Raw genomic sequence first — 12,171 nt, forward strand, 5'->3', positions numbered from 1 at the left:
TCTCACACCAGCTGAGGGTCCTATGATTCAATTCAACTCTGATACTGACTACCTGGAGTTAGTGTCAGGTCCTGTGAGTTAAAATACAAGGTCCCCAACAAGACTGACCTTAATTCAAATGCCAGCTGCAAGTGGGATCACCAGGCTACTCACACATTTGTCTGACTTGGCTACAGATTCAGGGGTTTCCCATGACCCCACCCCAGATTCAGTAATTCACTTGAATGACTCGCAGAACTCAGAGAAGTGCTTACTATTACCTTTTTATTATAAAGGATACAAATGAATAGTCATATGAAGAGGAATAAAGGGAAAGGTTTGGAAAGGTCTTCGGTGCAGGAGCTTCTGTCCCTGTGGAGTCAGGGTCCATCACCCTCCTGGTATATCAGCGTCTTCACTAATTGGAAAGCTCCCTGAGGTTCATTGTCCAGAGTTTCCATGAAGGTTTCATTATGCAGGCATAATTGAGTAAATCACTGGCTGCATGATTGAACTCAATTCCAGCCCCATTCCCCTCCCTGAAGTCAGGGGGAGGGACTAAGAATGCCAACCCTCTAGTCACATGGATGGCCCTTCTCCATCTCATAGTCATCTAGAGGCCCTGCCAAGAATCACCTTGCAGAACAGTTATGCTGGTGGCCTTGAACTGACCCAGTTCTCTCTTTTTTGCTTGTAGTTCTCAAAAATAACTAGAATATTCTGTGAATGCAACATCCAGTGATAAGGAGCGACTGGCTGGAACAGCCTGGGCTCTGTTCCAGTCCCCCCTAGAAACAGGATGTCCTTCAACACTTTAGCCCAGCATGTCATGTTACCCCTGGGGTATAAAGCCCAGGGTGGGCTGCTATCCAGGGTCCCTCAGCTGCGGCGCAAGTGGAGTATGTACAAACAAAGCTTCATCTACCTTGGTAACTTTCCTGAGCCTTGGAAGACCAGCTCAACATGAATCCTAGGCTTCTGCTGTCCTTTGCTGTCTTTCTGTAAGTAATAAAACTACTTCATGTAATTTGTGTGAGGGTGTTGTGTCTCACCAGCCTCAGATAAGTTGGTAACCAGTGCAGAGTAAACCTGCCTTGCACAACTCATTAGCATAACAGGCTCCTATAATTCTAAAGATTTTTGAAGCTCTGTGCCAGGAACTGGGGTTGAAGACCAGACATATTCTTTATTATATCACAGGCCACCCCCTAGCCTTTTCAGCAAAAGGATCATACCTGTCTGATCATCCACATTTGGTGTAGCATTTATATAACAGATACAGCAATAGTACCAACATGAATATGCCTAATATTTGGAGAAGTCAGTGTGGGGTAGGGATAGGAGGTCTTAAATCCAATTTTGCAATACATTTGGCTATCAGTTTCAGTACAGTATTATAATCTTGCCAATAATGGCTGTATTATATCAAATTGAGGTAGATGTAATATGAAATATAAGAGTAATCAGTTCATTATCATATACTATGACCAAAATGTCTCCCACAGAAAGGCCACCCAGGTGTGCAGGCTTCCATTCAATCTTGTTAAATTCCAAAAGCAGGTGTGGTCTCAGCAAAATATGGCTTCATCCTTTCAGACCTCTGGTATAACCATATCATCCCTTGCTCTGGGTCTCTTTCAAAGTGTTAGCATAATATTGGATTTCCCTAATTGGGTTATTCATTCCATACCCTCAGCTATTATTCTTCATTCTCTCATTTATACCCAAACTTTTCTACCTTTGGAAGGGACATTAGGAGAGGCCACTGTGCTAGTCCAGATTGCTGGCAACAATAGTAGTTTAACAAGTGCCTCCCCTTCAGTCCACTCCAATTTATATAGATTAGGGCTATATAGCTACAGGACTAATGGACTATCTTAGCCACTGGATGATACAGCAGCATTTACTGTCAACTCAAATTTTGCCAGATGGGTTGAGGGCACAACTTAACCTATAGGGTCCTTAGAAATGCTGAAATAAAGATTTAAAGGTATAGTTACAATGTCTTGCCTAGGAATTATCTATGCTTCTGGCACCTGCAGATGTATCTCTAGTCCTGGAACCTCTGCATCAGATGGCAAAAAAGAAAGTTGAGGTGATGTGGGCAAGAATCATATAGTCATACCAACACCCTCCCTCAACCCCTCTCCCCTAGATTTTCCTAGAAAAATGGAGGAATCTCTCCAATGGGGATTCTCCCTTGGCCCCCTCATGGTGCATGTGAGCATACCCTCATGAAAACATTTAAACAAGTGCTTCATAACTTTATCCCCTCCCCCATTTTACTTGATTTTTAAATTTTATTTTCTTATTTTATTTGGTTTTTTTTTTTTAGAGACAGGTTCTTGTTTTGTTGCCCAGGCTGGAGTGCAGTGGCATGATATCTCACTGCAGCTTTGAACTCTTGCGCTAAAGTGATCCTCCCGCCTCGTCCTCCCAAAGTGCTGGGATTATAGGCATGAGCCACTGCACCCTCACTCACCTCATTTTAGACAATGAATGTTTCAAGTGCTCATTCCAATTCCCTATTAAACTGCTACTCTGAGGATGACAATGCAACGTGGTATGTCTGTTTGATGTGATATCTCTTTGTCCACTGTTGGACATCATGGGCTGTAAAGTGTGACTCTTGGTTTGAAGAAATGTAACTTGGTGGTCCAAATTAGTACAGTATCTTTTGTTCCAATAATTTAATAGTATTTTCAGCATTCGTATCTACCACTAGGTGTGCAAAGCCCAGTCCAAAGTAAGTGTCTATTCCTGGCCGGGTGCAGTGGCTTACGCCCGTAATCCCAGCACTTTGGGAGGCCAAGGCAGATGGATCACCTGAGGTCAAATTTTGAGACCAGCCTGGTCAACATGGTGAAACCCAGTCTCTATTAAAACTACAAAAGAATTAGTCAGGTGTGGTGGCAGGCGACTGTAATCCCAGCTACTCGGGAGGCTGAGACAGGAGAATCACTTGAACCCAGGAGGAGGAGGTAGCAGTGAGCGGAGATCACACCACTGCACTCCAGCCTGGGTGACAGACCAAGACTCCATCTCAAAAACAAAAAAACCAAAAAACCAAAGTAAGTGTCTATTCCTGTCAGACCCCATTTGTAGCCCCCAGGGCTGCCAGCATTTGTTCAATGTAATCTATCTACCAGCTATGTGTGAGGCCTTCCAACGGGGGAATGTGCCCCAGGGCCACCTGCATTCTCTGTCTCTCTTGCTGGCAGACAAAACAGTTCTTGTTGGCATTTTGTGCTTCAAAGGGTGCAAGAGGAATATGTCTAGATCTCTACATTGCCACAGTATTCTTAGGTCCACTCATTCCATGGACCCAGGTGGCCACCTCAAGTGAGCACACTGGGAAATTCACTCACTGGTGCCAATCACCTTCCAATCCAGGAAAGTGATTCTTCTATTGGGCATTGATATGTCCTACTTTAATCTATCCCTCAAATTTCCATAGTGATTTTCTTAGGGGATCCCTTTAAGAGGGCAGTTTTCTATTGCTCTTCAGCCTGACCATATGATCACGTCAGTATGCACCACCCATGAATCAGTAAAAACCCAAATGTAGTGGCAAACAGAATGCAATAGCCTATAAGGTAAGTTGTTTTTACCTTCTTAGCCTTCCAAACAAGATGCTGCACATTCACCTTGGAACTGCGATTATAAACCAAGAAGCTCTTTGCTGTTTATAGGACACTCTCCAGGTAGCAGTAGAATCTGACAGCTCCAGCCAGGTGCTGTGGCTCACGCCTATAATCCCAGCACTTTGGGAGGCCGAAGAGGGCGGATCACCTGAGGTCAGGAGTTTGAGACCAACCTGGTCAACATGGGGAAACCCCATCTCTACTAAAAATATAAAAATTAGCTGGGCATGGTGGTGCACACCTGTAATCCCAGCTAGTCGGGAGGCTGAGGCAGGAGAATCGCTGGAACCTGGGAGGCGGAGGTTACAGTGAGCAGTGAGCCAAGATCGCAACACTGCACTCCAGCCTGGGTGACAGAGCAAGGCTCCATCTCAAATAAAATATAAAATAAAATAAAATAAAATAAAATAAAATAAAATCTGGCAGCTCCTCAGGTGGTTCAAAAGTCAATTCTAGGGGAAAAAGTCTATCTGCTTGGAAATATGGTATCTCCTGGCATTCCCCCAGTGGTATGTTCCATCAGAAACAACTTCCATTTTGTTATGGAGCTCTTCCAGGCACTTCTCTCCCCATTGAATGGTTTCTCCAACATCATCCAAAATGTTATGGGTATTTTATGTTTAAGATTATTTTATATCTTTCAGTTATAGTGGAAGTTTTACTTAATGTCTGATAAGAAATAAGTAATTTCCCTGCAAATGGGAATTCTCTGGTCCAAAGTCCCAGCAGTTATTGCTGGGTGGCACTCACAGACTTTTGCCATAAGCTCCAGCCTATACTTCACACAGGGCTATTGTACAGAGAATTTTCCCTACTGGCACTTCAGCTTCTATTTTATACTGTTTGAAATTAACAATCAGTGTGACTTGGGCCATCTTATTTGTTCCCATTTTAGCACATCCAATTAATATTACCCATAGGGTGAATTTGTTTTGTTTTTTTTTTTTTTGAGACAGAGTCTTGCTCTGTCACTCAGGCTGGAGTACAGTGGCGCGATCTCGGCTCACTGCAACCTTCGCCTCCCGAGTTCAAGTGATTCTCCTGCCTCAGCCTCCTGAGTAGCAGGGTTACAGGCACCCGCCACTGTGCCCGGATAATTTTTGTATTTTTAGTAGAGACAGGGTTTCGTCATTTTGGCCAGCCTGGTCTCAAGCTCCTGACCTCATGATCCACCTGCCTCAGCCTCTCAAAAGTGCTGGGATTACAGGTGTGAACCAGTGGGCCTGGCCCCAAAGGGTGAATTTATGTGCCTTCTGTTTATAATACTAGGGAGGGGAAATGTTCCACGGTCAGATACAATATCCCCATACTACATTCAACGAAAAGAGATGCTATTCACACATACAAACTGTTCAAACATACGAATTTTAATCCAAACTTTTGTCACTTTAGTTTCATCAACCCTTGCATCCCTGACTGAAGCTTCCACTAGGACTTCACCAACAGATTTTCATTTTATAAATACTAGGTAGGGAAAGTGTGCCCCATTAAGACATAATATTCATTCTCTTAAAACATCCGTGTATAGGAGCTACAACCCCTTCACATAAATCCCATCTAAACACTCTATTTTTATCCCTTAATCCCATCCACCCTTGATTTCTATACACTTTTGTTCTAATTGTGGTCTTAGTGAGGGCTCACTAGCAGGGGACTACAGTGTATGTGGCTCCTATGTTAAGGAGTCCTAGAAATGTCCCTTTTCCACCCTGACAGTTTTTCTCACTGATGTGCATAAGGCCTTGGGTCTGCAATGGCTGTGGGGGTATGGGGTGGTGGTGGTAGTGAACCAAAGGAAGCTGACCCATTTGTCATCAATCCTTATACTGATTTGGTTATGGGACTATTGCCCCAGGTGATTCAAGGTAAGGTTTCTTGAATTCCTCCAAACAAGGTTGGATAAATCATATTTGTCCAGGGCCCTTCATGTTGGGACAACAGCAGGGGCTCCCTTTGGTCCACCTCAACCTCTCAGAGTACTGCTCTAAGACCGTTGTTTTGACCCCATTCACGTCAGCCTTATTCCATTTATTTTTTTGAGACAGAGTCTCGTTCTGTCACCCAGGCTGGGGTGCAGTGACACAATCTCAGAACTATGGTAATATAATGCTCCCTTCCTTATAAGGATGACGTAAAGCAGTGTTTCTCAAAGTGTATTCCCTGTGCCAGCAGTCTCAGCATCTCCTGATAATTGAATTAAAAGGCAGATTTCAGGCGTCACCATACCTGTTGAATCAGAAACTCTGGTTTCTGTGTTTTAAGACTTCTAGGAGATTCCAGTGGAGTCTAGACTTTGAGAACAACTGTTGATGAGATTAAGTGAGTTAATAATAAGCTTTAGGACAGTGCCTGGCACATACTAAGCAGTATATTCATGAATATTTTTAAGCGAATACAATAAAATATGGTCAACATATAGAAAGTTTAATTTAGGCAACAAGATGTTGCCCATGCTGTTCCCCCAAGAAATAAATCCTGCTTAATTCCTTGTCCAAAGGCATCAACATGGACTGCCAAACCCCTCATCATGTGGCTTCTGCCTTCCTTTCCTACTATTTCTATTCTCCATATACACTAGGTCTCCAACTTTTCTAGTACTCAGTATGAGAATTGCTTACTCACACCTCCAAGGCTTTGCCTATTCTGTTCCCTCTGCATGGTTCCTTCTCTTCCTTTTTAAAAAAGAACCTCTTTTCTCTCACTTCCTACACTTGCAATCTCCCGAATTCCTACATCTCCCTCAAAACCCAGCTCCAGTGTCACCTCTGTGATGACCTCACTGCTGTCCAGTCAGAGCCAGGCATTTGCTAGGCCTCAACACCGCCCTACACATCCCACTTATAGTACTTAGAGCAGTTTGTAACTGTTTACAGTTTCATTTCGTCTTTTTGAATTTCTTAATTGAGGTGAAATTCATGTTACATATAATTAGTCATTTTAAAGTGTGGCTGGGAGTGGTGGCTCACACCTGTAATCCCAGCACTTTTCAGAGGCTGAGGCACGTGGATCACTTGAGGTCAGGAGTTTGAGACCAGCCTAACCAACATAGCCAAACCCCATCTCTACAAAAATACAAAAAATTAGCCAGGCGTGGTGGCACACACCTATAATCCCAGCTACTTGGGAGGCTGAGGCAGGAGAATCGCTTGAACCTGGGAGGTGGAGGTTACGGTGAGCCAACATCATGCCACTGCACTCCAGCCTTGGCCATAGAGCAAAACTCTGTCTCTCTCACACACACACACAAACACACACACACAAAAAAAAAGGAAAGGAAAAAAGAAAAGAAAAATGGCCATGCGTGGTGGCTCACGCCTGTAATCCCAGCACTTTGGGAGGCCAAGGTGGGCGGATCACCTGAGGTCAGGAGTTTGAGACTAGCCTGGCCACATGGTGAAACCCCGTCTCTACTAATAATACAAAAATTAGCCAGGGTGAGCCGAGATAGTGCCGCTGCACTCCAGCCTGGGAAACAAGAGTGAAATTCTGTCTCAAAAAAAAAAAAGTGTATGATTCAGTGGTATTTAGTGTATTCGCACTGTTGTGCAACCATCACTTCTTTCTAGTTTCAAAACTTTTCCATCATGCCCAAAACACATGCCATACCCATTAAGTAATCACTTCCCATTCCTCTCTCTCCCCTCCCCAGGTGACCACTAAGCAGTTTTCTGTCTTTATGAATTTGCCTATTCTGGATATATTATATAAAAGAAGGCAAACAATAACAACATGTGACTTTCAGTGTTTGGCTTATTTTATTTTATTATTTTATTTTATTTTATTTTATTTTTGAAGCAGAGTTTCACTCCATTGCCCAGGCTGGAGTGCAGTGACGTGATCTTGGCTCACTGCAACCTGCACCTCCCAGGTTCAAGCGCTTTTCCTGCCTCAGCCTTCCAAGTAGCTGAGATTACAGGTGCTCGTCACCACACTCAGCTAATTTTTGTATTTTTAGTAGAAACAGGATTACACCATGTTGGCCAGGTTGGTCTCAAACTCCTGACCTCAGGTGATCTGCCCGCCTCGGCCTCCGAAAGTGCTGGGATCACAAGTGTGAGCCACTGTGCCTGGCCAGTGTCTGACTTCTTTTACTTAGCATTAGTTTAAAGTTCATCCAAGTTGTGGCATGTATCAATATTTGGGGTTTTTTTTTGCTGTATAATATTCCATTAAATGTTCATATCACAATTTATTTATCCATCATCTGTTGATGAGCATTTGGGTTATTTTCACCATTCGGTTATTATGAATACTGCTGCTATAAACATTTGTGTGCAAGTTTCTGTGTAGATATATGTTTTCATTTCTCTTGAGTATATACTAAGGAGTAGAATTGATGGGTCATATGGTAATTATATGTTTAACTTTTTGAGGAACTGCTAGCTGTTTCCAGAGTAGCTGCACCATTTTACTTTCCCAATAGCAAGGTATGAGAGTTCCTGTTTTTCCACATCCTCACCAACACTTGTTATTTTATTTAAAAAATTTATCATTATAGCAGTATGGTGAGTGTGTAGTGATATCTCATTGTGCCTTTAATTTGCGTTCCCTTTATGATCAATGATGTTGAACATCTTTTCATATGCTTGTTAGCCATTTGTATAGCCTATGTGGAGAAATAGCCATTCAAGTTGCTTGCCTTATTAAAAACTGGATTGAGACCAGCCTGGGCAACATAGCTACACCTTGTCTCTACTAAAAATCAAAACAATTAGCTGGGTGTGGTAGTGTGCTCCTGTAGTAACAGCACTCAGGAGGCTGAGGCAGGAGAATTGCTTGAGCCCAGGAGGTAGAGGCTGCAGTGAGCTGTGATCATCCCACTGCACTCCAGACTGGGCAACACAGTGAGATTCTGTCTCAAAAAAATAAATAAAAAATAAAATTGGATTGTCTTTGTTGTTGTTGAGTTGTAAAAGTTCTTTATATATACTGCATACTAGACCCTTATCAGATATATAATTTTCATAATTTTCTCCTATTCAAAGGCTGTCTTTTCACTTTCTTGATAGTGTCCTTTGATGCACCAAAGTTTTTAATCTCTATGAAGTCCAATTTATCACTTTTTTTTGTTGCTCATGCTTTTGGTGTCACATCTAAGAATTCATTGCCAAATCAGAGGTCATGAAGATTAATCCCTAGGTTTTCTTCTAACAGTTTCATAGCTTTAGTTCTGTTATTTAAGTTGTTAATCTATTTTGAGTTAATTTTTGTATATGGAGAGAGGTAATGGTCTAGTGTCATTTCTCTTTTTTTTTTTTTTTTGCATATTAGCTACCCAGTTTTCTCAGCATTATTTTTGAAGAGATTTCTTTTTTCCATTGAATAATCTTGGCTTCATTATCAAAAATCAGTTGGTTATAGATGTTTGGGTTATTTCCAGGCTCTAATCCTATACAGTTGTTCTGTGTCAATATTAAGTCTTCCAATGCATAAACATTGAAGGGATGTCTTTCCATTTATTTAGGTCTTCTTTAATTTATTTCAGCAATGTTTTCTAGTTTTCATTTTATAAGGTTTTAACCTCTTTGGTAATTGTATTCCAAGGAATTTTATTCTTTTTGAAAACATGTAAATGAAATTATTCTCTTAATTTCCTTTCTGGATTTTAAATTGCTATTGCATAGAAACAACTAATTTTTGTGTGTTGATCTTGTAGTCTGAAACTGCTTAATTTATTATCCCCAATAGTTTTTTTGTGAATTCTATGAGACTTTCTATTTATAGAATCATATCATATGCAAATACAATTTTACTTCTTCCTTTCCAAATTGGATGCCTTTATTTATTTATTTTTCTTGCCTAGTTTCTCTGGCTAAAACTTCTGGTACGGTAGTAAATATAAGTGGTAAAAGTGGCATCTTTAGGCCAGGTGTGGTGGTTCACGCCTGTAATCCTAGTGCTTTGGGAGGCTGAGGCGGGTGCATCACCTGAGGTCAGGAGTTCGAGACCAGCCTGACCAACACAGTGAAACCCCATTTCTACTAAAAATACAAAAATTAGCTGGGCATGGTGGTGGGTGCCTGTAATCCCAGCTACTTGGGAGGCTGAGGCAGGAGAATCGCTTGCATCCAGGAGGCAGAGGTTGCAGTGAGCTGAGATCTCGTCGTTGCACTCCAGCCTGGGTTACAGAGCGAGACTCTGTCTCAAAAAAAAACAAAACACACACACACACACACACACACACACACACACACACACACACACAAAGAAAGAAGATGTTTCCTCCTTTTCTGTTTTTTGAAAGAGTTTAAGTAAGATTGGCATTAAGTCTTTTTAATATTTGGTAGAATTCACCAGTGAAGCTATCTGGTCTTGAACTTTTTTTTGTTGTGAGATTTTTGGTTACTGATTCAATCTCTTGTTATAAATATGTTGTTGAGGCAGTTTTGGCAATAAGTGTGTCCTAGGAATTTGTCCATTTCATCTAGATTACCTAATTTGTTGGCATATCGTGTTCAAAATATTTTCTTTCAATCGTTTTAATTTCTGTAAGGTCAGTAGTAATGTTCCACTTTAATTAACCTTCCTTCTTCCTTCCCTCCCTCCCTCCCCCTTCCCCCCCTTCTTTTCCTTCCCTTTCCTTTCCTTTTCCTTTTCCCCTTCCTTCCTTCCTTCCTCCCTCTCTCTTTCTTTCCTCTTTTTTTTTTTTCCAGGGTCTCATTCTGTCACCCAGGCTGGAGTGCAGTGGTGTGCGGCCTTGAACTCCTGGGCTCAAGCACTCCTCCTGCCTTAGCCTCCCAAGTAGTTAGGACCACAGATGTGTGCCACCAGGCCTGGCTAAATAAACAAAAAAATTGTAGAGATGGGGTCTGTCTATGTTGCCCAGGCTGGTACTTTCATTTCTGATTTTAGTTATTTGTACTTTCTTTTTTTTCTCAGACTAAAGGTTTGTCAATTTTGTTGATCTTTTAAAAGAACCAACTCTTGGTTTTACCGATTTTCTATTTTTTCCATTCCTTATTTTGTTTATCTATGCTCTAATTTTTAATTTTAATTCTGGCAATATATACATAGTCATGCACCACATAATAATGTTTTGGTCAAACTTGAACAGTATAAACAAGGGTGGTCCCATTAGATTATAATGGAGCAGAAAAATCTCTATTGCCCAGCTGGGTGTGGTGGCTCACGCCTGTAATCCTAGCACTTTGGGAGGCCGAGGCAGGCAGATTGCCCAAGCTCAGGAGTTCGAGACCAACCTGGGCAACACGGTGAAACCCTGTCTCTACTAAAATACAAAAGAAATTAACTGGGCATGGTGGCATGCGCCTGTAGTCCCAGCTACTCGGGAGGCTGAAGATGACAGCTCCATGCTTATTAATTGCCCCTGAAGACCTTCCAGTGGGACAAGATGTGGGGGTGGAATACAACGATGTTGATGAGCTTGACTCTGTGTAGGCCCGGGCTAATGTGTGTGGTTTGTGTCTTAGTTTTTAACAAAATAGTTTAAAAAGTAAAAAAAAAAAATAATAATAATAATAATGGAAAAAACCTTATAGACTACTGTTTAAAATAAAATTTGCTATTTTGGCCATTTTTAAGTGTATAATAAATACAGTGGTATTAATTGCATTCACAATATTGTGCAACCATTGCTACTATTTACAATGCTTTTCATCATCCTAAACAGAAACTCTGTACCCATTATGCAATAACTCCCTGTCTCCTCTCCCTCTAGAACCCATTAACCTTTAATCTACTTACCATCTGACTAAGCTTACCTATTATAGATACTCAGCATAAGTGGAATCATACAATATTTGCCTTTTTGTGTCTGGCTTATTTCACTTAGCATAATGTTGTCAAGGTTTATCTATGTTGTAACATGTATCAGACGTCATTACTTTCTGTGGCTAAATAATATTCCGTTGTCTGTGTATACCACATTTTATGTATTCATTTATCCACTAGTGGACACTTGAATCATTTCCATGTTTTAGCTATAGTGTATAGTGTTGATATGAACATTTTGGTACAAAATTTTGTTTGGATATGCCTTTCCAATTCTTTTGGGTATATAATGAGGAGTACAATTATTGGATTATATGGTAAAATTAATTATATATTTAACTTTTTGACAAACTGCTAAATTATTTTCCACAGTGGCTGTACCATATCACATTCCCACCGAAAATTTATGAGGGTTCCTTCTTCTCCACCTTCTTGCCAACACTTGTTTCCAATTTTTTTTATTGTTGTTGATTAGTGCTATACTAGTGAGTGTGAAGTGGTATCTCATTGTGGCTTTTCTATTTTCTTTTTTTTTTTTTTCTGAGACAGGGTCTCTCTCTGTTGCCCAGGCTGGAGTGCAATGGCGCAATCTCGGTTCACTGCAACCTCCGCTTCCCAGGTTGAAGTGATTCTCCTGCCTCAGCCTCCCAAGTAGCTGGGATTACAGGCACTCACCACCAGGCCTGGCTAATTTTTGTATTTTTGGTAAAGACAGGGTTTCTCTATGTTGGCCAGGCTGGTCTCGAAATCCTGACCTGAAATGATCTGCCCGCCTCGGCCTCTCCAAGTGCTGGGATTACATGCGTGAGCCACTGCG

The 12,171-nt window shown here is 41.4% G+C and overlaps 1 protein-coding gene across 6 annotated transcripts in view; it reads left to right on the forward strand.

Annotated features, from left to right (window-relative positions):
- Positions 619 to 12,171, forward strand: part of TMCO6 (transmembrane and coiled-coil domains 6) — a 51,203-nt gene continuing 39,650 nt past the window's right edge. For all 6 annotated transcript variants that reach the window (XM_047417356.1, XM_047417357.1, XM_024446125.2 and 3 more), the window contains exon 1: positions 619 to 980. The gene's annotated coding sequence lies outside the window, so the exon portion shown is untranslated. The remainder of the gene's footprint in view (positions 981 to 12,171) is intronic.

This window comes from Homo sapiens, chromosome 5 (assembly GCF_000001405.40).
Source record: "Homo sapiens chromosome 5, GRCh38.p14 Primary Assembly".
In the NCBI taxonomy this organism is placed as follows: Eukaryota; Metazoa; Chordata; class Mammalia; order Primates; family Hominidae; genus Homo; species Homo sapiens.